This window comes from Homo sapiens, chromosome 1 (genome assembly GCF_000001405.40).
Source record: "Homo sapiens chromosome 1, GRCh38.p14 Primary Assembly".
In the NCBI taxonomy this organism is placed as follows: Eukaryota; Metazoa; Chordata; class Mammalia; order Primates; family Hominidae; genus Homo; species Homo sapiens.
This window is the reverse complement of record NC_000001.11, coordinates 205,788,183-205,814,104: the sequence shown is the minus strand read 5'-3', so window position 1 is coordinate 205,814,104 and position 25,922 is coordinate 205,788,183. Positions and strand designations below refer to the sequence as shown.

The 25,922-nt window shown below is 50.9% G+C and overlaps 1 protein-coding gene across 2 annotated transcripts, besides 7 other annotated features; it reads left to right on the top strand.

The window, feature by feature from the left end:
- Nucleotides 547–776: a silencer, noted in NCBI's record as "silent region_1750". NCBI's record gives its function as "represses an Ori minimal core promoter by ATAC-STARR-seq in GM12878 lymphoblastoid cells {active_cell/tissue: GM12878}" and the evidence as "EXISTENCE:reporter gene assay evidence [ECO:0000049][PMID:35858748]".
- Nucleotides 547–1,176: a biological region, named in NCBI's record as "H3K27ac hESC enhancer GRCh37_chr1:205782120-205782620".
- Nucleotides 613–1,113: an enhancer, noted in NCBI's record as "H3K27ac hESC enhancer chr1:205782120-205782620 (GRCh37/hg19 assembly coordinates)". NCBI's record gives its function as "activates a minimal SCP1, AML or CMV promoter by ChIP-STARR-seq in naive H9 embryonic stem cells {active_cell/tissue: H9 hESC(naive)}" and the evidence as "EXISTENCE:reporter gene assay evidence [ECO:0000049][PMID:30033119]".
- On the top strand, nt 907–25,010 carry SLC41A1 (solute carrier family 41 member 1). Of its 2 annotated transcripts, NM_173854.6 has the most exons (11): nt 907–1,297; nt 3,018–4,035; nt 13,045–13,152; nt 14,275–14,346; nt 15,004–15,148; nt 15,290–15,436; nt 16,054–16,201; nt 17,102–17,181; nt 18,627–18,761; nt 19,087–19,235; nt 22,387–25,010. In NM_173854.6, the coding sequence occupies exons 2-11, from the start codon at nt 3,664–3,666 to the stop codon at nt 22,570–22,572; spliced, it is 1,542 nt and encodes a 513-aa protein (NP_776253.3). In that variant the 5' UTR covers nt 907–1,297; nt 3,018–3,663; the 3' UTR covers nt 22,573–25,010. The 2 variants fall into 2 exon arrangements, with proteins under 2 accessions (NP_776253.3, XP_047272843.1); XM_047416887.1 differs by lacking the exon at nt 907–1,297 and having other exon boundaries at nt 3,016–4,035.
- Nucleotides 917–1,176: a silencer, noted in NCBI's record as "silent region_1749". NCBI's record gives its function as "represses an Ori minimal core promoter by ATAC-STARR-seq in GM12878 lymphoblastoid cells {active_cell/tissue: GM12878}" and the evidence as "EXISTENCE:reporter gene assay evidence [ECO:0000049][PMID:35858748]".
- Nucleotides 3,611–3,842: a silencer, noted in NCBI's record as "fragment chr1:205779391-205779622 (GRCh37/hg19 assembly coordinates)". NCBI's record gives its function as "represses an EF-1alpha promoter that drives an FKBP-Casp9 reporter gene in an ReSE screen in K562 erythroleukemia cells {active_cell/tissue: K562}" and the evidence as "EXISTENCE:reporter gene assay evidence [ECO:0000049][PMID:32094911]".
- Nucleotides 13,141–14,091: an enhancer, noted in NCBI's record as "H3K27ac-H3K4me1 hESC enhancer chr1:205769142-205770092 (GRCh37/hg19 assembly coordinates)". NCBI's record gives its function as "activates a minimal SCP1, AML or CMV promoter by ChIP-STARR-seq in naive H9 embryonic stem cells {active_cell/tissue: H9 hESC(naive)}" and the evidence as "EXISTENCE:reporter gene assay evidence [ECO:0000049][PMID:30033119]".
- Nucleotides 22,414–22,473: an enhancer, noted in NCBI's record as "active region_2390". NCBI's record gives its function as "activates an Ori minimal core promoter by ATAC-STARR-seq in GM12878 lymphoblastoid cells {active_cell/tissue: GM12878}" and the evidence as "EXISTENCE:reporter gene assay evidence [ECO:0000049][PMID:35858748]".
- Nucleotides 25,011–25,922: the final 912 nt, after the last annotated feature.

Below are 25,922 nucleotides of genomic sequence, written 5' to 3'. Positions count from 1 at the left end.
CTGCACAAAAACATCCCAAAGAGAACTGGCATTGAGCTTGTGTTGGAGAGGTGGAGATACCCCAGGGAGGAAGTGGCGAAAGGTGAGCATGGGAACACCCCTCTTTGATCCCACAAGGTGCGTCAGGGAAAGTTGGATTTCATTTAGTCCGGGATGGTGACATCTCTCCGCACGCTGCCACCAGGCTCAGTGGGTCAGAGGAAGTGAGGCTCCCCTCCTCTCCGACCTCAGGTGATGCGTGTGCGACCCCAGCCATGGGTCTGACCTCCTTTCGCTCCCGCCCGCCAGTCTCCACCCCTTTCAAGGCCGGGACTTTTTTAAGGCCGGATTCGTCAGGGGTGAGCCATTTGCTCAAGGAACGCGGAATCTGGAGGGAGCCTAAAGTGACGAGCCGGCGGGAGAAGAGCAAGGTAGGGACTGTTCTGTCCGGGTACCAAGTGGGAGGAGGGAGCACGCGGCTGGCTGCTTGAGCCCGGGGGTCAGAGGTGGCTGGCTGGCTGGCTCCACAGGGACGTTTACCGGTCTTCCCGAAGGCCAGAGGCTCCAAGGAAACATCCAGAGGCAGGAGAGGACGCGCACTGTCGCACACGCCTCTCAAAGTCTGCTGGGGCTCCGACGCGGCGCAGCGGGCCCGGGGGCGGTAGCACCACGCAGCGAGCCCGGGCAGCGGGCCCCTCGGACCCCGGGCCGATGGGCGCTGGGACCCGCGCGCTCCAGGCGCATGGAGCCGGCTCCCGGTTCCCGTCACTCCTCCTACTGCGTTTCCCCGGCGCCCCGCCTCCTGGGCACGAAGCGAAGGAAGGGGGCCGGGCCGAGGTTGATCCCGCCCCCTCCCCAGTCCCTGATTGGCTGCTGCTGTTGTCCATCCGAGAATCTATTTTTGATGGAGCGGGGGGGGTGCCACCCAGTCTGCCCCAGATCACGTTTGCCACCGGCAGCCAACCAGTTGGGCCCGAGTCCGCGGGCAAGAAGCGATTGGGGGCGCGTGAGCTCGGCTCCCCGGTCCCCCGTCCGGGTGCCCCCCCGCCGGGCCCGAAGCGATATATCCTGCCCTCCCCGGCCACCTCCCCCGCGTGGAAGCGGAGCGGCGGCCTCGCTGTAACGCAGAAGCGAAATGTAGCGAGCCGGGTGTCGCGGCTGGACGCTCGCCTTGGCTGGGGGTGTGGGGGGGCACGCCGGGGGCCAAGGAGGACTGTCGAGGAGGAGTGATGAGAAGAGGGGGTGCCCTGCACCCCCCGAGACCACGGGCCACGCTGCCACTTGCCAGGCGCCCCCCTTCCTCCCAGGCGAGGGGCAGGTCAGTCCTGTGGGGTCCTGGGGCGGGGAGGGGGTGGTGGAGGGCGGCAGTCCTGGCGCGCAGCGCATTTGCTGAATCTGAGTGGTGGAGAGACTGAGGAGGCCACCCAGTTACTTTCTCTCCCTCCTCGGGGTTGGGGATACTAAAATGGGTCTTTTTTGTCCCCGCCTGGGAGGAGGGGATAGGGCGTCCTGGTTCACTTTTGCTTCTTTCGTCCCAGGGCCTTAGGCCTGTCTGAAGTCTCTTTACAGGGGGAGTGGTGAGGGAGGACTGGCTTCCCCTCCTGGGAGCCCCCTCTCAGGTTCAGTGGCCTGCCAGGAACACAGGAGGGAGGCGGGGGTGTCAGCTTTTAGCGGACTCAGAAACTTTTCTGGCATAGGGGCACTGGACTCAGAGGTTTCCTCCTGGATCTCTGGTGAGGGAGTTTGAAAGAACCACAGTACTGTGTTTAAGGAGATTGGAAAAGGGAGTCCTGGTGGGTGACTGAATTGATAGAGGAAACAGTTCTCCTGGGCCAGTTCCTGGGGTTTGATACCTCCTTTCCTAAACTGAACTTGACTAATTGTGTGTGTTTGGAATACTTAAGGACCTGTTCCTCTTACCTGGTGGAACTCTCTTTAAATTTATTTTTTACGAATAAGAGCTCTTCTGGTGAAATGGAATAGGATGGGAGTCCATCAGGAATTAGGAAGCCTGGGGATTCCTTTAGGCAGAGAAGTGGAGCCATTACAGCTAAAGAGATGCATTTGGAGCAAGTGCATATTGGCTTACGGTGCTTTGGTTTTTGTTTTGGGTTTTTTTTATTGCTACTTTTGTTTTTTTGTTTTTGTTTCTAAGAATTCCACTATATCCAACTCTCAGTAACCCTGGGGAACAGGAGGAGCCTAATTAACTGAAATGCGTGGGTAATAAGCAATCGTTTTATGCTCTGTCCCTTCTAACTGAGATAACTCCCTTGTCCTATCTGACAAGCTCACAGGGCCAAGAGCAGGGGGAGACGGGGAGAGACAGAGGCCTGGATCCGAGTCAGCTGTCTGAGCTCTTTGTAACACTGTTGACTCTCAAGGGCAGGAGTGGGTAGGCCTCTGGCTCTTGGCCTTGGTCTGGCAGGCTTGCCCCACTGCCCAGGGAGTCCTCCTAGCTTTGTTTTGTTTTCTCAGAAGCTAGAACGATCTGGGGTCTGGGGGACTTCACTCAGCAATCAGTTTCTCCCTATTTCTTTGCCCTGTGTGGCTGTCTTTCTGTTGCTGTCTTGTGATGATAAGCAGTCACTTTATACAGGGGTGGCTGTGTGGCAGGGAGTTTGTGACTGAATTTGTAACTGAACCCCACTTAAATAATGCAGGGTTCTTAATGGGCATTCAAGAAGGGGTCTTGCTGAGGACACACCTACCCACCCCCAGTTGCTGAGGAAACAGTGCAGAGGGCTTCTGCACAGCATCTTCCCAATCCCAGGCTGGTCACATCTCATTGCTGGTGACCACGGTGGTGATCCCTCAGGAGGGTTGCTGGTGGGGAGGATGGCGGGGATAGCTCCTGCTGAGCCTCCAGATGGAGCAGTGCAGGACTGAGTAATTTTTGCGGAAAAAGGGAGGCAAATAGCAAACTCTATAGCTATATGATGAACTCCTAACTTCCTTGGGGGGAAATTCTCCCAGTACAAGCTGTCCTTTGCTATAGTGTAATGTTCTTTTTCTTTTCTTTCTCCTTCCCACATAAGGTGTTCCACACTGATTCTCGTGACTTTAAGGACCAGGGATTTGAAGAGGTATTAGCTCTTCCCAGGAAGGGAGGAAGTTTCTGGAAGAGAAGGGAAAGACGGCAGACGCTGCGCTGGGACCAGCAGAGCCTGAGGAGCTGTGGGAAGCTGACAGAGCCCAGCCAAAGGAGCGGGAAGGAGCCGCAGCCCCAGGCTGGCACTGTGTTCTGAAAGATTTGAACTCAAGCTGCTTTTTACGGAAGAGGGGCCACTTCAGAGGGCACCCCAGAATTTGGTTGAGCTCTTCTACTCTGGATGCCCCCTGCTCTGAGGAGCCTGCCACTGAGAACCAAAGAAGATAAGAGGACAGATACTTTTTCTTCAAGCACAGAGCTGGTGGGTTGGAGTCAGGCATCTGCACCCCTAGTGGCTGTCTGGTGAGGAATTTCTTGTTTCTTCCCAGCTTGCGGCTTCAGTGCTTGATGGGGCTGCCTGTTGGTGGATCAGTTTTTGCAGTGCCTGGTAGGAGTGGAGAGCCGTGGGAAGAGGTCCTGCGGCGCCCAAGCCTGGGTTCACCCCAAGACTAAGTTCTTTCCCAAGTTAGAGAAGAAGAGAGAAAGCAAAAAGAAGAGAGGAAAGTTCTCCCTTCCCCTCCTCCGTGCCTGTCATGTCCTCTAAGCCAGAGCCGAAGGACGTCCACCAACTGAACGGGACTGGCCCTTCTGCCTCTCCCTGCTCTTCAGATGGCCCAGGGAGAGAGCCCTTGGCTGGGACCTCAGAGTTCCTGGGGCCTGATGGGGCTGGGGTAGAGGTGGTGATTGAGTCTCGGGCCAACGCCAAGGGGGTTCGGGAGGAGGACGCCCTGCTGGAGAACGGGAGCCAGAGCAACGAAAGTGACGACGTCAGCACAGACCGTGGCCCTGCGCCACCTTCCCCGCTCAAGGAGACCTCCTTTTCCATCGGGCTGCAAGTACTGTTTCCATTCCTCCTGGCAGGCTTTGGGACCGTGGCTGCTGGCATGGTGTTGGACATCGTGCAGGTAGGACCTGAGTAGGGCAGCTCTTGACTGTGAGCCCAGGGCCACCTTTGCCTGCTGGGAAACTTGGAACTTCCTCTCTACCTCCCTGTCAGAAGTGGCTGCTGCTTCCTAGAATACTGTTTTCCTTTGGATCATGTCCTCGGTTTCTTCTTGGTCTAGTTCCTTTCTACAGAAGCCTCAAGGAAACCGAGTAGCCCTGGGGAGGTGATCAGGGCAGTATTGCTAAATAGAAACAGAATTGGCTCCCGAGCTCAGGCTTGGGAGAGGAGAGATGGAACAGGGTCGTTGCTTGCCATCTCTCCCAAGCAGTCCTGCCGAGCCCAGCTCAGTAGGAGACATTTACAAGGGTCTCCTCTTTATGCCTTTTGTCCCCTGCATTTGGGGTTTCAAGGATACCCATAGTAGAAAGCTCAGTTTCAAGCCTCTCCTCCATCCCCCTACTGGGCAGGAATTTGTTCAGCTGCCAAGAGGGTCTCAAATTAAGTAGGAAGGCTCTTGAAGGCATTTTGTGTTGCTTATCTTCCTGTAACCTTGGCATAATCCCCTTGGGGGGTGGGGGTGGGCACTTGCTGTCTGATGCATGATTTGGAGATTTGGTGTAACAAGACCCAAATGTGCTAATTATCTGCTGTAAATGGGGACAAAATGTAACTAGGCCTGGGCAGAACTGTCTCTCCTCTTTGCTCCTCACCTGTCATTCTGAACCTGCCCTGGGCAAAGAGGGTTCTTTTTGAGGACATTGGGTAGAATGAAGGATGAGAGTCGGTGGGACATGGAATCTAAGAGCCAGAGATGTGCCATGTTAATTTATTGTGAGTCAGGACTTATGAAGAACCTCCAGGTCCAAGAGTTAAAGTTTTGTTTTTAGATAAAAGTTTTTTAGGCACAGTGTGGCACACCAAACTTTTTGAAGGTGCTGGGTTTACCTAAGTAATTCAGCAATGTGTATCAAATTCCTGCTGAATGCTGGCCTCTGTCCTAGGTACTCAGAGAAATATTAATACCAAGGCAGGAGGAGATCTGGCCTTTGCTTTTTGGGACCCCCAGTGTTCCCTGACTGTGATATCTCCCAGAAGGACACGAAGCTTAGCATCACCTTCCCTGTGCCAAGCCAACCCTACAGACCATAGTGATATAGAGTTCTGCTGGTAGGTCTCACCATGCCTGTGTCCTGGGAGACTGAAGGGGGTTGGTTCTTGATAGTGTGTGCACATGGAGAACTTTGACTTGAGCCCTTCAGGGGAACCCTGCACCTTTGGTTGCTCATGAGAGTGCTGTTTAAGTCATGCCAAAGTGCCTTGCACTGCCTCCCCTTTCCCCAAAACTGTTATCTTGAAGGTTGTTCCTACATGGAGGTTGGGAAGCCAGCCTGGAGCTTTGGGTTCCTCCTGCTAGGGGCTGCTCCTCCCCCTAGGGCCGGGACTGGGACAGTAGGAGGAGGAGAAAGAGACTAGGGTAACATTTTTCTTCACCTCTTCTATTCCTTTCCTGTGGCCTCAGTTCTCATTCTTGAAGTTGTTGCATTCTGGTTTGATACCTACAAAGGGTTGCAGAGCCAGGGTCCAGAGGTGAACTGAAGAGAGTTGTCTTATTTTCTGGATAATAGTAATGGTAGTGGGGAAGCATTTGGGGGGCTCTTCGGTAGGCCCATGAGGTAGGATCCATAATCATCTCCATTTTGTAGGTAGGGAACTTGTAGCTTAGAGGGATTAGGTAACTTGTCCCTGGTCATCTGACCCTAGAGCCCACACCACTAACCCCTGTGGCCTTCGCCATGGCCATGGTTCACCAGTTGGTTAAAAACTCGGAGAGGGGGCCGAGCTCAGTGGCTCATGCCTGTAATCCTAGCACTTTGGGAGGTCAAGACGGGCGGATCACCTGAGGTCAGGAGTTTGAGACCAGTCTGGCCAACACAGTGAAACCCCGTCTCTACTAAAAATACAAAAAATTAGCTGGGCATGGTGGCAGGCACCTGTAGTCCCAGCTACTTGGAAGCTGAGGCAAGAGAATCATTTGAGCCCGAGAAGTGGAGGCTGCAATGAGCCAAGATCGTGCCACTGCTCTCCAGCCTGGGTGACAGAGCGAGACTCCAACTCAAAAAAAAAAAAACTCTGGCTGGGCATGGTGGCTTATGCCTGTAATCCCAGCACTTTTGGAGGCTGAGGCAGGAGGATCGCTTGAAGCCAGGAGTTCAAGACCAGCCTGGGCAACAAAGTGAGACCTTGTCTCTACCAAAAAAAAAAAAAATAGTCAGGCATGGTGGCATTCTCGTATAATTCCAGCACTTTGAGAGGCTGAGATAGGAGTGATCACTTGAGCCCAGGAGTTTGAAGTCGCAATGAGCTATGATTGTACCACTGCACTCCAGCCTCAGCAACAGAGCCAAACGCTGTCTCAAAAAAAAAAAAAAAAAAAAAAAGACTCTACGAGGAGCCTATTTTCTTTGTCTTTCCTTGAAGAACTGGGTGGATTAGAATCTGGATTAATTAGCGTTATCTTCTGAAGTGAGCAAGAATAAAAGTTCTTAGATGGGGTAGGGAGGGACCCCCGCATACACACCACACCCCTACCCATCCCACACACTTAGATTCCAAAGTTTCTGATGTGTTGCCCCATCCCCACTCCAGGCCCATGAGCTGGAGACATTGAGAGGCCTGGGTAGGGAACCTTTGGAGCTGCTCTCAGTGTGGCACCTCAGCTCACCTCAGAGCTAGGGTCCACTTGGTGTGGATGACAATGACAGGTTTGTCCATGTCCTCCTCCCCCAGCCTTCCTGCTACAGCTGGGCTGGAGCAGGCCCTGCAGATGGCAACAGTGAGATGGCAGGAGGGGGTGAGTGCAGAGGGACCGAGACATGGGACCACAGGGAGATTGTTATTCCACATCCATGGGAGTAAAAGGGGGACTGACAATCTCAGATTCAGGAAGAGCGGGATGGTTTCTAAGGATTCACACCTATATTACCCCTTCATAAGCTAAGATGGACTTCAGTAAGAGAATCTGAAAGTGCCCCAAGACCATGGGGCCATCTGGAGAAGCTGGCTATGGAGTGTCCCCAGCATCTTGGAGCAACTGAGCAGGAGTCCATATTGGGCCTGGTTCAGATGTCTCCTTGGTCCAGGGCCCCCATCTTTCCTTGCTGCTGTAGAAAACTTGGTTTCTTTTTCACCAACGAGATGCAAAAAAAATAAAAATAAAAAGTTGAATTTTAATTTTAATTTAAAAGAAAAAGAAAACCCACTCTCTTCCTAGAAGGGTCATTTCTGCCTCCTCTTATCTGCCCTCCCGTAAATGTGCACAGCAGCATCTGCAGTGAAATAAGGGGCTGGTGCTGGCCCAAAGTAGGAAAAGGATAAATGGACCTCCATCTGCTCTAACTTCCCAACCATGGCTGAAAGTTCCTGCAGCATCTGGAAGGGAAGCAGGCTGGGGCCTGGTGTTGGCTTCTGAAGGGGGTTGGGATATGGGAGCCTCCTCACTGCAGGAGCCTTGTGCCCATCTGCCCAGTTTGGTCCTAGGCTGCTCCGGATGTCTCACTCCCTTTATCTGTCAGCCTTTGTGAGGGATGGGGTGACAGGAAGTAGTGTGCCCATCTGCACTTTAATTCCCAGCTAGGTTAAGACAGGTCCTTATTTTAACTCACTACTCACCTGCTAAGGATCTTGAACAAAGTAGATCCTGCTGTGTATACAGAAGTCTACAACGATGAAAGTGCATGGCAAGCGTGGCCTTGGGGAAGTAGAGTGGGAAGGAAGTATTCCTCCTGTGCCTGGCCTGCTCCTGTGGCCGCAGCATCCCTGGGCGGGACACTCTTATCTGCTTCACTTGACCACCCCTTCTGCTTTTCCCATCTCTGTCCCCTGCCTGCTGTCAGGGACCCATTTGCTTTGCTCCTGCTTTGTCCTGCACCGTATATCCAGGTGTTGCCCTAAAGCCCTTTCCTGGACACCTAGAGGATGCCTTTTGGAAAAGCCTCAGACAGGTGAAGCCTGGGGTTACTGTAATCTCATCTGACCCAGTCCTTACCCTAAAAGATCAGCTCCAGCCCAGCTTCTCCCACAGGAGCCCAGATTCTCCCCAGCCTGGAGCCTAAAGCTTGTATCTGGGAATTTAAGTCTTCTTAATGTCTTGATTCCTGGCTCTGACTTTCTTCCCTGCTGCTACCCTCCTGAGGTGGCTCAGGCCAGAACCCTTGAAGGCAGGTCAGGGTCAGTGTATGAGCTTGGATTGGAGTAGGTGAAGGATGGAAGAGGCGCATTGGAAGGGCAAGGAAGAGGTACTGGCAGGACCACTGAGGATCGAGACTTAAGGTGATTGCTGTGCCTCAGGATTCATTTTGGCTATGGGGGAGGCAGTCTATTCCCTCACCTGCAGAATACCAGGGATCCATGAGCCCCTCACACCAAGGTTAGAGAAGGAAAGAGATGAGGAGCTGCATTTCTGAGAAGTAGTTAAAATCTAGATGCTCCCCTCACCTCCAAGCAGGGCAGCACTTCCTGGAACATGCCCTTTTTCATCCCCATCAGAGCAGGAAGGCGTGGGTGGCTGCTTGGCAGACGGGTGTGACTTCAGGGGCAGATACTCCTAGCCTGGATGAACAGGATGGGGCTGAATTTGGCCAAAGGAGGAAGAAGAGCTACTCACTGTCTGCCCCTGCCCATCCTGTCTACTCCTAACCTTAAGGCCACCTTGATTCCTGGGCTGGCTCCACATCTCCAGCCTCCAGCATCTCTTTCCAGAGTCCTATGCATGCCCATGTGTCAGAGGCTTTCTGCCTGAGCTGCAGCTTTGAGAGGGTTTGTGGGTGAAGAAAGTATGTGTGTAGGAATTGGCTTCTCTGACCCAAGTGCCAACTCGGGGCTTTGCTGGCCTGGGGTCAGGTCGTTTGAGGTTCCAGGCTATATTCTGTAAGAGTCGGGAAGACTTTTGCATAGGGGCTGTTACTGTGACTGCTCCCTCTCCTTGCCTGTCTGTCTCTTATCCCACTGCTCCTAACACTCCGTACTTTGTAGATCCTCCTGTAGCTATAAGGAGAGGGTGCATTGTGCTGGGAGGTAGAGAGATTTGGGGTGCTTATGGTAGCAACCAGAGGAACTTAGCTGAGCTTTATACATTTTTCTTAAATAATAATAAAAGCAAGCAATATTCATTACAAACAGCTCAGAAAACATTGCTTGCATACATGTGGAGTCTTCTTGTGGGCTTTTTCTTTCTATGAGTACATGTACATTACATACACCTACCTGTAGAAGTCAGATTTTCATGGAGCTGGCAGCTTGGAAGCAGGGTGGAGCTGGTGTTTTGGGGTGAAGATGAGCTCTGAGGCTGTGCTCTGAGAGGAGCTTTGAAAGCCCGCAAGGGAGGGGAGAAGAGGGGGATTTTTCCCCTCTCTGGAGCTGGTTTGGGAGGAAGCAGGAGGCGAAGCAGAGCAAGGCCAGACTGCAGGGAGCTGGAGCCTCAGTGGTATGTACCAGCCGTGTCCAAGAGTAACAGTCCCCAAGTTGCTCCAGGGCAGATGGGGCTCACTGGGGCTGCCTTCTCTCTGGGGGGTCTTAGGGTGGGAAGGGATTCACTTCCCTTCAGTGTTTGGAGAGGGCTGGCTCATCCTTTGGCTGCCTGGAAGCCCAGTAACTGTTGTTGAGATGGGGGGCAGTCTCTTCCCCATTGTTAGTCCCTACGGTGGGGCTTCCCTAAGGAGAGTCCCAGGTCTTGGCCAGACCAGAAGCTCAGGCAAGCGTATGCTCCAGCCCCAGTGAAATGAGTCCTTCCCCAGGATCCTGTGAGGCCTCCCACCCCATTCACACAGGGAGAGCTCCGACAGGAAAAGAGAGGTTCTTGCCTTATAGGGCCACCCAGCGCCCAGCCTCTCCTGGTCTCAAGCCCTAGCCCCACCCCCTCTGATAGCCTTGCTTATCTTTTTGGTTATTGTGGTAAAAAATGTGTAACATAAAATTTACCATCTTAACCCTTTTTTAAGTGTGCTGTTCAATAGTACTACGTATATTCACCTCATTGTACAACAGATCTCCAGAACTCCTCATCTTCCCCAGCTGAAGCTCTGTACCTATTAAACACTCACTCTTTTCCCTGCTCCCCCAGCGCCTTGCTTCCACCATTCTTCTTTCCGCCTCTATGAATTTGACTACTTAGGCTGGGCTCGGTGCCTCATACCTGTAGTCCCCACACTTTGGGAGGTCGAGGCGAGAGGATCCTTTGAGCCCAGGAGTTCGAGACCAGCCTGGGCAATATAGTGAAACCCCTGTCTCTACAAAAAATACAAAAATTAGCCAGGTGTGGTGGTGCATGCCTCTAGTCCCAACTACCCGAGAGACTGAGATGGGAGGATGGCTGGAGCCCGAAGCCATGATTGCACCACTGCACTCCAGCCTGGGCCACAGAGTGAGACCGTGTCTCAAGAAAAAAAAAAAAAAAAAAAAGAATTTGACTACTTTGGATACCTCAGATAAGTGTTTTTTATCTGAGTGTTTTATCATACAGTGTTTTTTATGACTAGAGTAATGTCCTCAAGGTTCATCCATGTTGTGGCATATGACAGGATTTCCTTCCTTTTTAAGGCTGAGAAATATTCCATGGTATATATGTACCACACTTTGCATATTTTGTTTATCCATTCATTCCTTGATGGACATTTGGGTTGCTTCCACCTCTTGGTTATTACATATAGTGCTACTATGAACATGGGCATATTAATATATCTTCAAGACCTTGCTTTCTATTCTTTTGGATAAATATCCAGAAGTGGGATTGCTGGATCATGTGGTAGTTTTATTTTTAATTTTTTGAGGAACCACCGTACTGTTTTTCATAGCAGCTGCACCATTTTATAGTCCCACCAAGAGTGCACAAGGGTTCCAATCTCCACATGCTTTTTTCTTTTCTTGAGACGGAGTCTTGCTCTGTCACCCAGGCTGGAGTGCAGTGGCACTGTCTCGGCTCACTGCAACCTCCAACTCCCAAGTTCAAGCAATTCTTCTGCCTCAGCCTCCCCAGTAGCTGGGATTACAGGTGTGCGCCACCATTCCCGGCTAATTTTTGTATTTTTAGTAGAAACAGGGTTTCACTATGTTTGCCAGGCTGGTCTCCAACTCCTGACCTCAAGTGATCCACTTTCCTTGGCCTCCCAAAGTGCTGGGATTACAGGCATGAGCCACTATGCCCAGCCCAAACTCTACATCCTTGCTAACACTGATTATTTTCTGGGTTTTTAAATAGTAACCATCCTAATGAGTGTGAGGTGATCTCTTACTAATCTACAGTATTGCTCAACTTTATTTTATCTATTTTATTTTATTTTATTTTATTTTATTTTATTTTATTTTATTTTATTTTTGAGACAGAGTTTCACTCTTATTGCCCAGGCTGGAGTGCAGTGGTGCGATCTTGGCTCACTGCAACCTCCACCTCTTGGGTTCAAGCGATTCTCCTGCCTCAGCCTCCCGAGTAGCTTGGGATTACAAGCATGTGCCACCACGACCAGCTAATTTTTGTATTTTCAGTAGAGACGGGGTTTCTCCATGTTGGTCAGGCTGGTCTCAAACTCCTGGCCTCAGGTGATCTGCCCGCCTCGGCCTCCCAAAGTGCTGGGATTATAGGTGTGAGCCGCTGCGCTCGGCCACTGCTCATCTTTAACGACAGAGTGTGGGTGTTGGAATTGCCTTGAAAGACCATCTGATCTGGTCCCTGAATTGAACATTTTTCAAGAGCTTGAGGCCCTTGTAACTTGTCTAAGGTGTCCAGCCGGTCTACGTGAGGAGGTGTACTGGGGAGATAAGCAGGGGGCCATCCCTGCTGTCTCCTGTAGGAGACCCAAGGCTCTTGGTCCAGTGCCCTTGCCAAACATAGTGCTTGGCCTCCCAGCCATGATACGCAGACCAACCCATATATATCCGCCTGGCCTCCTGCCTCCTCCTCCCTCTCCAAACCTGGAGGCTTTCCATTCTTAAAACAAATAAAAGAAACCACCTACCCTGTTAGGGCCAGGGAGGGAGACACAATCCTAAACCTTTTTGCAAGTCCTCAGTTTCAATTGCAAGTAAAGTAGCTTTCAAATAGCCAGTCCTGGTTCCTGCAGTCCTCTTAGCACTAACTAGTGGAATACTGTCTGAACCCCAGTTTACTCATTCACAAAATGAGAATAAAAATAGCCCCTACCTTACTGGGTTGTTAAGATGATTAAAAGAGAAAATACATGGAGAGCACTTAGCCTAGCACACAATCAGTCCTTAATAGATGTTAACCAAAGACATTGGTAGGAGAGCCAGGATTGATTGTCTTGGGACTAGAACTCAGGTCTCCTGACTCCCGGTCCAGGGCTCTTCCTACAGGAGTACACTTGCTTCTCCTAGCTGAGAGATTGAGGAAGGTGTGTGGGGGTAAGGCAGTGCACAGAGAAATAAAAAGCCTCTTGCAGGCCAGCATTCAGAGGTTTAGGGGCCACAGTCTTAATTCAGAGCCTGTTCAGAAGGAGAGTTGCTGTGGCTGAGGCCCAAAGCCCTTGGAGATAGAAACCAAACAAACTCTCTAATCTCCCCAGCCTCGGCCCCAGCCCTGTGGAGCCCAACTCTTCACAGCTGAGACAACAGAGAAACTGGACTGAAGGCAAAGGGGCCAGGGATTGCAATTTGAGGGGGGATTGCAAAGGATTTCTGGGGTGTCAGGCAGCCCAGGGCAGCTCAGCTGTGTGGGTCCCCATTACCCTTCCCCACCCACCTCCAGGAAAACAGAAAAGGTAGGGCCAGACTGAGAGTCTCCCAACCGGCAGAAACCCTCTCCATCTCCCTGGTTCTGGGTGGCAGGAAGGGGGGTTGTGTTGTTTGAAGAATCATGGGCTTGGTTTGGTTCCAAGGTTCTTGGAGGAAAGGTGGCTGGCGTGCTCACTCCCTGCTGATTCTATTTCCTCCTCGAGCCCCTGATCTCAGACTACCTGTTGAACCTCAATGCCCGCCCTTTGGGGCACTGAAATTCCTGGGTTCTGTTTTCACCTCGTAGCACTGGGAAGTCTTCCAGAAGGTGACAGAGGTCTTCATCCTAGTGCCTGCGCTGCTGGGGCTCAAAGGGAACCTGGAAATGACCCTGGCATCAAGGCTTTCCACTGCAGTGAGTATCCTGGCTGGGAGGAGTGGGGCACAGAGAGGACTCTGGGCAGCACAGAGCCAGAGACTGGGAGAGGGCTACGAGCCCTTCTCCACTGCCCAGGCCTGGAGTGTGGGGCTGGGGTGGGAAGGGAGGGCCTGGCTGGGCAGGTGTAGGGAGATCCCAGGCTGGGTGTCCTGCTCCTGGGCAGGGGCTCCCTGCCCAAAGTGGTTCCCAGGCTTGGTTTCTGGATGTCCCAGCCACCCCTGGACTCCTGCCCCACCCCCTACCTCTCAACCACCTCGTGACTGTTTGTGCAGCTTTGACAGGCAGGCATCATGCTGGTTCCTCCACCCGCACAGATGGGGGCCTCCTCTGATCTCCAGCCCCTGCTTTGCAGCTGGGCGGGAGCAGAGCCAGGCCCTCCCAGCACCCCCAGCCCCCCGGCCATCCCATTCCCTTTACCCATGGCAGCTTGCTCTTCTTTAAGGAAACAGACAGAGAGGAGCTGCTCGTCATTCCTACCTCCCACAGTTGTGAGCCGTGACGATTCCGGGCCTGAACAGATACAGGGCCCTGGGCTGGAGGTGGGAGATGATAAAACTCAGGAGGCCAGGGATCTCCCTGCAGGGTCAAGAGTCTAGAGAAGGTGACAGACAGAAGTGGCATCCAAGTTAACCCACCCTGACTTGCCATACCCGACTTCTGGCCCATGCCACCCACTCCTTCCCAAATACTCTTGGAGCCTCAGTCCTGCACCAGCAGCTGACCTTTCCTTCCCTGGGATCGCAGGCTGGCTTCAGAGTCAGGGACTGGGTTGTTCTGACCCATGCAGGAATGGGCTGCCCAGATAAGCAGGGCAAAGGATAGAATTTGCCTCTGCTCAGCTGGTGTCCTGAGAGGAAGAGAGGCGACTGCCTAGGGGACCCCCTTCCAACCCCCCACCCAGCTGCAGGAGCCCAGCTTTAGCTCCTTCCCTTTCACCTCAGTTTCCCTGATCCTGCTTCACCTTTCCGGGACTGTCAGGTCCTGCTCTCAGAGTCTTAGGCCACATGTACTGCCTCATGATCTAGGCAGGAGCCTAATGGATGGAGCTTCAGGCCTTTTCCAGCCTGAAGCTCCAGCCCCTTGCCCTCCCTTTCCCAGGCCAACATTGGACACATGGACACACCCAAGGAGCTCTGGCGGATGATCACTGGGAACATGGCCCTCATCCAGGTAAGAAGGCAGGGACCAGAGAGGGTGGGCTAAGCTTCCCCTTAGTCAGGAATCTCTGAAAGGCTTAGGTCAGCCCCAGCAGGCTCCTGAGTGAATCTCCAGTATCCCACTGAGCTGGCTTCCCCCAGAGTAGCTCTAGGAGGTAACTAGGTTACCCAGGAAAACGCCCAAGATGAGGAGGGCCCAGCATCACCCATTCTGGTTCTCAGTTCTTGGTGGTGCACGTGCCTTTGAGTCCCAGCAGATCCTGGCAATATGAGCAGACTCAGGAGTGCTGAGATGTCCTGTGCCACTGCTGTCCCATCTCCCCATGAGACCACACAGGTTCAGACTGGGAGCCTTCCCCCTTGAGGCCCAGGCCTTGACTCTGGGTGGAAGTCTCCGGCTCTGTTGAACCTCACTCCCATCCCCAGAGGCACACTCATTCAGCCAGTAACATGTTCTGGGCTCCTGCAGAGTGCACTGCCCAGTACTAGTGGCTGGTGTGAACCTAAATAAATAAAGACATCCTTCCAGCCTGGGAGGACTGGACCATGCAGTCCAGCCTGCCTCCTGGGGCTACTGCCAGCCAGGAAGAGGTCTGCCCAGATGCTTATGACCTCAGCTTAGGAAGCCCACTGCTCTCAGGGCTTTCTGAGTTACCACTCCTGTCCCCAGGTGCAGGCCACGGTGGTGGGCTTCCTGGCGTCCATCGCAGCCGTCGTCTTTGGCTGGATCCCTGATGGCCACTTCAGTATTCCGCACGCCTTCCTGCTCTGTGCTAGCAGCGTGGCCACAGCCTTCATTGCCTCCCTGGTACTGGGTAAGAAAGGGAGGGCATAGAGGAGTAAGGAGTGCCGCCCCAGAGAACACTGCACCTGGCACTTCCACTCTCTCTTTTTGTTTGTTGAGACTCCTTTATCTCTTCTCACCCTGCCTGCCCCTCCTCCCACTTGCTCACCAGGTATGATCATGATTGGAGTCATCATTGGCTCTCGCAAGATTGGGATCAACCCAGACAACGTGGCCACACCCATTGCTGCCAGCCTGGGCGACCTCATCACCTTGGCGCTGCTCTCAGGCATCAGCTGGGGACTCTACCTGGAACTGAGTGAGCCACCAAGAGTGTGGCTTCTTGGAGTCCTGGGTGGGGTTGGGAGAGATGGTAGTAGTTTGCAAATGTGCAAGAGTTTCTTCTGTGTTCTTAAACTATTTGGTTTGAACACAGGTTGTAATAATTCCTGATCTTAGAGATTTGAAGCTAAGTACTGATCTCAAATTCAAGCAGGCATCAGGGGCAGGGGAAAAGTATCAGAAGTATATTCCTGTGTGGTCCTGCAGATTCTTACTTCTCTTGGAGGGATGAGGTGGAAAGGGTAAAGGAAAGGAACCAGAGGCTTAGATCTGCTTGCAAAATGAAGAAGCGGGTGGGAGATGGTGTTTTCTGGGCTCCAATCAAGAGACCTAGAGTCTCTGTCCTCTGGTCTCTGTCCCTAATTGGCTCAGTGCCTGGCTAGCTCTCTCCCTTGGTTTCCTCATCCATAAAATGGAAAAGGCTTGTCCCACCTACCTCCTGAGCTGCCAGTGAAGATCAAATGGGATAATGTGTTTACTGGCATTTAGTGTAGTCTTGCTATTGATCTGTTGGGACATTTTCAGGCTGAGCCAGGGAGAAACTTAGGGTAGGGAAACACAGTGCTTATCTCCTTCTGACCTCTGCCCTCTCAGATCACTGGCGATACATCTACCCACTGGTGTGTGCTTTCTTTGTGGCCCTGCTGCCTGTCTGGGTGGTGCTGGCCCGACGAAGTCCAGCCACAAGGGAGGTGTTGTACTCGGGCTGGGAGCCTGTTATCATTGCCATGGCCATCAGCAGGTAGGCTGGGGCCCTGAGTATCCACTCCTACCCCACTCCAACCCTTCCACAGACTTCTTTTTAAACCCTGGAGAGATGGGGTGGGGGTCAGACCCTAGAAATGTGTTCATTAGTGTTTCAGTCACATGTCCTTCTGTTGAAAATGACAGAAACCATCTGAACTGGGTTTCATTCCAAGGCAGAATGTATTGGCCTGGAGAACCAAAAAGGCACAGCTGAATTCAGCGACATACCTAAGATCAGGGCCCCAGTACTCTGTGACTCTTAGCTCTGCTCTTCTCTGTCATGGCCTACAGCCCAGGTTTATGCTTTTCTTACTCCTACAAATTCCAGTGGGAAGAGAGATTCTTCCCCCAACAGTTCCACAAAGTCCCAGAATAGAGTTCCACTGCTTCTCATCTGGTGACATGATTATCTCCAAACCAGTCAGCGTGGCCTTGGGGCTGCAATCCTCTGATTGGATGGACCTGGAGCCTAGCTATCATTGAGGCATTGTCACCTGAGCCACAGTCACTGAGCTTGAGAGAGGTGGTTCCCTGTGGAGGAGCCCAGTGCTATCACCAGAAAGGGAAGTAAATGCTGAGTGGGCAGAACAACAGAGGTCCTCAGAGGCAGATAGTCCTGCAGGCTGCTCCTCCGGCCAACTTAGAGGGCAGGTACAGGAGGTGGTTGCCTGACCCAGTACCACCAGCTTGTTCTGGAGTCACTGTGCCCAGTCAGAATGTTATGAGCAGCACCTAATCCTGTCAAGGGAGGCAAGGACTGGATGGTGAGGAACTCCTGAGAGCCATGGTGCTTCCCTTCATCTCCAAGGATAGGTGGGCCTGGACCTCTCATCCCAGAGACTAAGGCAGAACCCTTCAGTGGTCTTTGCGTCATTTTGTCTTTATGTCTCTATAGTGTGGGAGGCCTCATCTTGGACAAGACTGTCTCAGACCCCAACTTTGCTGGGATGGCTGTCTTCACGCCTGTGATTAATGGTGAGGTCTGGGCATCAGCTATCAGAGGGCAGGGCTGGGGGAAGGAAAGGGACAGGAGAAGAGGACTTAAGGGGTTGGTTTCTGTATCAGTCAGGGTTCCAGCAGACGAGAATCTAGCTCAGATGGTTCAAGACCTTAATGAAGGGACTGCTTACAGAGGTGGGAGCAGAGTAAAAGGACAGATAAGGGATGTTGAGGCACCGAGAGATTAGCAGCAATGGGAAGCCTCTACTCCTAAAGGGTCAAGGGGAGTATCATAGTCCATTATCTGTTGCTAGAACAGAATACTTGAAACTGGCTAATTTATAACGAAAAGAAGTTTATTTAGCTCACAGTTCTGGAAGCTGGGAAGTTCAAGATTGAGCAGCTGCTTCTAGTGAGGGCCTCATGCTGCATCCAAACATCCAAATGGAGAAACAGAAGGAAAACTGGGCATGTGCAAAATGGGCAAAACAAGAGAGGCAAACCTCGCTTTATGACAACCCACTCTCATGGGAACTATACCTTTCCCAAGAAAGACATTAATCCATCTTAATAACCTATTCACTCTTAAAGGCACCACCTCCCACCACCACATTTGGGGACCAAGCCACAACATGAGTTTTGTTGGGGACAAACTATATTCAAACCATAGTAACGAGGGAATAGCATTATAGGAGTCCAGTGAAAGCTCTGTCTTTGCCCCCAACATGGGGAAGCCAATGCTGAAAAGCAGGGAGGGATTGGGAAAGAAATACCTGATCTCTCTCTCCACCTGCCCTCTGGTTGCCTGCTGTTGCCTCCCACTGAACAAACAGTGGAAGCAGCCAGCAAGGGAGACTGGGTAATGCAGTCTGTGGAGACCAGTCCCCCAGAGCTCAGAGCAAGGCTGAGAAGAGCAGGGAGCAGGTTGGGATGTGAGGGCAACAGAGAAATCAGCACAGGTCCTGGCGGAGATACCAGATTCCAGAGTTTGGAGCTCAAACCTGATCCTTGAAACTGGTTACCAGAATCAGCATATGACCATAGGATGCCTGGGTCTGCTCAGAGCATTGGAGAGGAGGTGAGGCGGTGAGGCAAGGCAGGGCTTCATCCCCTCAGCTGTGTAGGAAGGCAGGTGCCCATGCTCTACTGGTGGAGAAGTCAGGCTCTCTGAGTCTGCAGATCTGCACGTATCCTTTCCGGCACTGTCACAGCTTTGCCAGGGGAACATGGAACTGCTGCATCTCCATAGAGGGGAGGATGGGGGAGGCTGGAAGATGCACTGGAAGCAGGGGTCTTTGTCTTCCTTCTTAGTGCCTTACTCTTCTTTTGGGGACTGGTGAATGGGTGATGCCCACATAGACCCTAAATTAAGACAGAGGACAGTGCCTCTATAGATAGAAGACAAAGAGTGAGAAGATCATTTTGTTCCCACTCCTCCCTCTGACCTCTGTCTGTGTCTAAGCCCGTATGTGTCTCTGCAGGTGTTGGGGGCAATCTGGTGGCAGTGCAGGCCAGCCGCATCTCCACCTTCCTGCACATGAATGGAATGCCCGGAGAGAACTCTGAGCAAGCTCCTCGCCGCTGTCCCAGTCCTTGTACCACCTTCTTCAGCCCTGGTAACGGCAGATTCCCAGCCTCCCAGCCCTGGGGGGAGTGGGCCTACTGTCAGTGAGCTTCACTTAAGAGACAGCTGGGGCCCCAGATCCACAGGTTCTCCTTCTCTGCTGGGCTGTGCCAGCTGTTCTGAAGGGCAGAGCCCAGGCAGGAGGGCTGTCTTTTCCTGGAGCACCCTAGGGGTTGGAGACCACAGGATGCAGAAGTAGAGACATTCATCTGTCTGTTGCCCTGGGGTATGGTGCCGTCCCTCCTGACTTTGAAAGGCCTTCTGGGGCCAGGTCTTCTCCTCCCCTCCTCTTTACACCCTCTTTTCCCCAATTCCAGATGTGAATTCTCGCTCAGCCCGGGTCCTCTTCCTCCTCGTGGTCCCAGGACACCTGGTGTTCCTCTACACCATCAGCTGTATGCAGGGCGGGCACACCACCCTCACACTCATCTTCATCATCTTCTATATGACAGCTGCACTGCTCCAGGTACAAAGTGGCAGGAGCAGGGGCATGGGAAGGAGCCAGGATGCCCTGCAGGGATGGGAGAGGAGGCCAGACTTGGCCTCTTAGACACTCAACCTCCTCTTTCTCTGTGTCAGGGCAGCTGATAAACACCAGACAAGGGTGCAGGAGAACAGATGGTAGTTCCAGTAGAGTCACCAACATGGTGTGTGACTTTGACCCTGTTCTTTTACTACCCTGATCCTCAGCGATACAGTTGTAAATTGAGAGGAATGGACCAGGGGTGGTAGTTTTCATGCAGGTGGTTGTAGGATGCTGAGCCTGTGGGGTTTGCATGCCAACCCCACTGGCCACAGAGCTCCACATGGCTCTGTTTTGCATGTTGAGCTTTCTCAAGAAATTCATTTGCATAAAGCATCCCATAGCTTGAAAAACTGTCAAAACCACTGCACTAGATAATCTGTCGGATCCTGTGTAGCCTTGCCATTCCATAATACCATGACACTTTCTCCCTTCTTGTATTATTACATTGTAAAAGCTTTTTATTTTGAAATCATTACAGATTTGTAAGAAGTTCTCAAAAAAAAGGTTCAGAAATCCCATATACCATTACCCAATTTCCCTCCATGGGAAAATAACATTTTGCATAACTTTAGGACAGTATCAAAATCAGGAAATTAGCATTGATGCAATCTGCAGTGCTTATTCAGATTGAACCAGTTTTACATGCACTCGTGTGTGTGTGTGCGTGTGTGTTCGTTCTATGCAGTTTTTATCACAAGTGGAGATTTGTGTGACCACCACTATAACCAAAATACAGAAAACTGTTTCATCACCACAAGGCTCCCTTATGCTATCCCTTTACAGCTAGATCCACCCTTATTATTACATTTTAAATTTTTATAGGTTTGATTTTTGAATAGTCACATAGTTCAAAAATGTTTTAAGGTTCATAGAGAAACCTCAGTGAAAAGTCTTCTTTTCTGTCCTCTTCTTCACAGCCATCTGTTTCTCTCCTTCACAGACCATCAGTATTATCCCTTTCTTGTGTGTCCTTCAAACCTATTCTATATTTATAAAAGTAAACATATATTTTTCTTATTTCCTTCCTCTTTTTTACACACATGTAGTATACTGTACACACTGTCTGCACCCTGCATTTTTCATTTAAGTTTATCTTTGAGATCATTCCATATCAATACATAAAGAGAACAACACCCTGATTTTCTTACAGCTCCATCATATTCTGTGATACACAGACCATAATTTTATTTCGCCAGTCCTGTATTGATTAACACCTATCCCTCCAGCCCCCTCACCCCCAGCTTTAGAAAGGTTGTGTTCGGACATCTTGGCAGGGGCGGGGCTGAGAATCAGCCATATGCTGTTGCCCTGCAGCAGTTAGCCAAGCTGCCACATTCCATTGCTAGTGGGTTCCAGTGCAGCACGTGGTGGGAAGATGGGGGTGGATATGCCAGGGGTCTGTGGTGGAGGTTTTCAGCTCATCCCTTGGCCTGAATTGGAAAGGATGAGCCTCAGTGCCATCACCCATGATGAATACCCTGGAGACATTCTTGCCTCTGCTGTCCTCTCTAGATCTGTGGAGGGCCAGAGCGTGACACTTGATCCCCTGTAAAGGCTCTTATTGATCCCTTTGCCACCTCCTCCCAGCTGTGTGTCCTGGGGCCTGCTCAAGAAGCTGGAATGTGAGGACAGCTGCTACCATTCCCTTCCTAGGGCATGTCCCAAAGGCCTCCTGGCCATGCTCTTTATTTGGGACCCTTCTGCAGCTGCTGGAAAGGGTGTGAAGTTATGGAAGGTAGGGGAGCCAAGGCCGTGGTAGCACAAGACAGCTGTGTGCAGAGCAAGGGAGAATGTGAAGAGTCATCTCTGGCTTCCTTGGAGAGAGGGCAGGATTCTCTCAGGCAGAGCCTAAAATTTAAAAAAAAAAAAAGAGAGAGGACAGGAGAGCAACCAAGATTGCCTAAAAATAGGTATCAGTTCTGGCTTCTGGATCCCTTAAGGGCTGTGGTTCCCGCATCTGGATCCCTTAGGGCAGAATTTTCATACCACAGTATTTACAAAGTATAGTCAAGGGTAAAACCTCCCAGATGACTGACTGTATTAGAGCTTGACCGTCAGAATCTGTTTCATTCTCACGCAGATGCAGTCATTTAGGGAGCCCAAATGTCAGGCACTGTGCAGATTCTAGGAGATTCAGGCCTGCCCCACCGTGGTATTCTAGATCAAGGGCATCGCCAACTTAAAAGCGCATGTAAATCTTGTTAAATGCGGACTCTGACTCAAGAGGTCCAGAGATTTTGCATTTCTAACAAGCACCCAGCTGTTGTTGATGCTGCTGGTCCTGGGCCCACTAGCGAGATTCTGATCTGAGTCATTCTTAATTATCTGTATTAATAGAAGGTAAGCAAGAACACAGATAAAATCAAAGCCACAGATCATGTCAAATGTATTTTGAATTGGTATGCATTGTCTGCTTTATATTAATATTGAGGTGACTTATTCACAATTCAACTTTATTAGGACTAATGTTAAAATAAACTTGCATTCTTTGAGCCCAAACAATGGAAAAGAATGGAATGAAAAGCCACAACAACAGAATGAAAAGGGTCAGGAGGAAGCCAGCTTGGGATGATCATCTGTTACTTAAGACAACCGCCAGCAGCAGCTTCAAACACTATCCTTATACCACTCTGCCGAGAGAAGACATCCCTTTAGGAAAAGCTGACTCCAGCAGCCAGCCCCCTGCCATGCTCCTGGAAAGGCCAACATGGCAGGAATTGGAGTGACCCCAGAATGAGGTGACCCAGAGTTAGAGGCAAGAGGGCTGAGTTTCTGCAACAAGTAGGATTTAGGTCAGGAAGCTCCTTGTTTGGTAAACTTGGGAGCAGAATATAATGCTGATGTGGGTGACCCTGGGTCGTAGCAGCATCTTCCTTTCTAAAGAGCTCTTATTGTGCCTGTTGTCTGCTCAAAGTGGTAATTGTGGGGTGGAGAAACACAGAGAGGTTGCTGGGGTGGAAAGAGGAAGATTAAAAAGTAAGGATTATGGCCAGCCAAGCCCTGTGATGCACTGAATGGGTCTGATCATGTGGCCTCTGGCTCCCCCTGGAGAGAGAGGATGGCTATAGGCTGGGCCCTTTTGTCTCCCCAGGTGCTGATTCTCCTGTACATCGCAGACTGGATGGTGCACTGGATGTGGGGCCGGGGCCTGGACCCGGACAACTTCTCCATCCCATACTTGACTGCTCTGGGGGACCTGCTTGGCACTGGGCTCCTAGCACTCAGCTTCCATGTTCTCTGGCTCATAGGGGACCGAGACACGGATGTCGGGGACTAGCTTGGTCACTCAACATTTTCCCCATCCCTCTGCACTTTCTATTTGAAATTTTTCTTTTGTTCCCCTGTCCCTCCTCCACCCCACACTCCCACCTCTTTCTAGGACTTCACTTTGATACCAAATTCTCATTATTTTCAATGGGAATTTTTATACATTGAGCCAAGTTTGTATAGCAAGAATTTGGGAAACACAGATGGCCTGAGATAAGCAGTACAAGTAGGTTTTTGAGACAATCACCAAGTGCAGTTTCATGGTGGGTGCCTCCAGGTGATGTGGACTGGAGCAGGGGAGTTTTGTCTGGAATCTGGGGACATGGGGTTTGGCTTTAGCAACCTGTCTTGGCCCTAATGAGAAACCCTTTGTAAGTGGGCTCTGGATTTTTGGTTTTGTTTTCTTTTTATCTGTTTTGTTTTATTTTTGGTTTTGGTTGAACAGAGGGACAGAAGAATAAGTAACACTCCCAAACACAGACATACTTTTGTAGAAGTGGACCAACTTCAAAGCTCTGGACAGGAGACACCTGCTCCAGGCCCCTGTGATCCCAGTTCTGTTCTCTTGCCCTCTGGACCTAAGCGTTCCCACTCGCAGAAAGAGTAAGGTGGACTGACTTTTCAATTTGTGCACATGCCTCTTGTTCAATGGCCTGGTCAACATCAACAACCCCTCCCTCTGATCATTTCCAGTTGATTGTCATATCCAGGAAAAAATGGAACAGTGCACTCTTCTCCCTGTTGACCCATGTCCACCTATTGGTTCCCCAAAATCCACATTCTCCCTGGGCCCAAATGACTTTGTCTCCCTGGGCCCAGATTCTTTGTCTCTCTTCAACCTTCATCTCAAATTGTCTCTAAGCACTACCTTCCCCAGAGCTTGCCAGGTTGGGTTTTGAGATTAGGGTCAGGTCATGGGTATGTGGAGAATGGTTTGGAGGTTGAGGACAACCACAGGTGTCTCATTGCTGCCATTTCTCCTGAGGACATAATCACTTGGTCACCTTGGACCCTGTCACTTCCTAAAATTACTCGTTCTGTCATGCCATAGAGGTCAGTTTTCCTCTTTCTTGGCTTCTACCCACAAACATTCACCAATCATTTATTCGTTCATTTAGCAAATATGCAGCCTCCGCAAGATGAGCTCTCCTGCAGACAAGCATGGTCTGAAACATTCTTTGAGCAATATTTATTGAGTGCCTACTATGTGTTAGGTACTGTGCCAGGCACTGATAAGCCAGTGGTAAGGGAAACACAGCTCTAACCTCACCTCATTCTCCAGGTTACAAAGGCCATGTGCCCCTTTGAATCTGGCAGAGAAAGTTTCCTCGTTGTAAGTATTTGCATCTACTTCAAGCCAGATTCTTCTGCCTCTTTCTCCTTTCCAGACCCCTACTCTGTGCAGTGCTGACCACAGCTAGAGCCACCGCCCCATTGCTCAACCAGTATTTATTTCCCTAAACGACCCTTCCTCACATTCCCTTCCCTCCACCTCTCCTTACCAAGCACCCAAAAGAGGATTTAGAACTAGCAGGGTGGACATCATCTGGTTGTTTCTACTTTTCTCTGCCTAGCACAAAATTGGGAGAAAACTGGAGCCTCCATCCGCAGTCACACGTGTACAGATCTGGGGATTTGGATGTAGGCTTTTTCTAACTTCTCTCTCAGAAGCTTCTACAGAAACCCTTCCATCTGTAGCCTCAAGGGCCCACCTCCAAGGGAAGGCTTAGGCAATGATCCTGTTTCTACCAACACTGCACCTTATCCCAGGAACCTGCCCTAGACCTCCAGAGACCATATTTTCTCTCCCTCCATTTCTACCCAGACCTCCAGGCCTCCTTCTGGAATCATAGAACCGTAGAATTGGAAGGAATTTTAGAGGTTTTCTAGTTGGAGTTGTGTCCAACAGAATTCATTAACACCAGCCTGGGCTTGTTTTTCCTCCTCCCTCTGGACTTTTTTCATCTTTTCCTCCACCTCAAAAAATACTTACACACAGATTCTTCTTGTACAGGCATCAAAACCAACTCCTCTGCCCCTAAGGCTGTGTCCCTGTGGTCTCCAGCCACCCCTACCCCAGTCACTCGCCCCTTCCTCATCTCTGGAATTTGGCCAGGCAGTCCCAGAAGACTCTGGAGTGACCTCCTTTGCCTAAAAAGCAGACAGATAGGCATGCCCCAGGCCCTGAGTGAGCAGAGGAGGACTGTAGGGTGAGAGGGAAAGAAAATGAAGGTGACTTTCATGGAAGTTTCATTTCTTTTCCCCGATTGTACCAACTGCATGTACTTTTGGCCTGGCTGCAAGGAGCAATATTGGTTTACTCTCGTATCCTTAAAAAGTTACAGAACTGTGTCTTAAGAGAATTATTTATAGTTACTATAACTGAATTGACAAATGTCAACTTAACTGATAAATTATATTTGGTAAAATAAAGAGGACGTTTATTTAGATGGTTGGTGTTTCCTGTATGTCTCATCAAAAAGCAGCTTCAACTGTTGTCTTGGGCCCCTCTGTAGGCCTTACCCTCTCCTCAATTAGGAGTAGAAAGGGGCCAAAGTGTGACAAGAAATGAAACATCTCGGCCGGCTGCGGTGACTCACGCCTGTAATCCCAGCACTTTGGGAGGCCGAGGCGGGCGGATCACAAGCTCAAGAGATGGAGACAATCCTGGTCAACATGATGAAACCCCGTCTCTACTAAAAATACAAAAATTAGTCAGGTGTGGTGGCGGGTGCCTGTAGTCCCAGCTACTCAGGAGGCTGAGGCAGGAGAACCACTTGAGCCCAGGAGGCAGAGGTTGCAGTGAACCAAGATTGCACCACTGCACTCCAGCCTGGCAACAGAACGAGACTCCATCTCAAAAAAAAAAAGGAAACATCTCTAAAATGCAGAGATTGTGTGATAGAAAATACAGCATCGCCAGACACAGCGGCTCATGCCTGTAATCCCAGCACTTTGGGAGGCTGAGAGGGGTGGATCACCTGAGGTCAGGAGTTCGAGACCATCTTGGCCAACATGGTGAAACCCCGTCTCTACAAAAATTAGCTGGGCGTGGTGGCGGGCGCCTGTAATCCCAGCTACTTGGGAGGCTGAGGCAAGAGGATCACTTGAACCCAGGAGGTGGAGGTTGCAGTGAGCTGACATCATGCCATTGCACTCCAGTCTGGGTGACAAGAGCAAAACTCTGCCTCAAAAAAAAAAAAAAAAGAAAAAACAACAGGCATTTATTGAGAAACTGGTGCACGGGGACACACTCAAGAAGCTAGATGCAGGGTCCTTGCTCTCGAGGAGGTTGTACTCTGGTCTCCATGTGTTAACTCAGCCTCTGTTGGGGGATTGTGCTATGGGTCCAAGCATTTA

Bases quoted from the DNA above. Each gene is read 5' to 3' on its own strand.
- SLC41A1 (NM_173854.6), top strand. From the start codon at position 3,664: ATGTCCTCTAAGCCAGAGCCGAAGGACGTCCACCAACTGAACGGGACT. The intron at 4,036-13,044 runs GTAGGACCTGAG...TTCACCTCGTAG, and splicing joins TGGTGTTGGACATCGTGCAG to CACTGGGAAGTCTTCCAGAA. The intron at 14,347-15,003 runs GTAAGAAGGCAG...TCCTGTCCCCAG, and splicing joins GGAACATGGCCCTCATCCAG to GTGCAGGCCACGGTGGTGGG.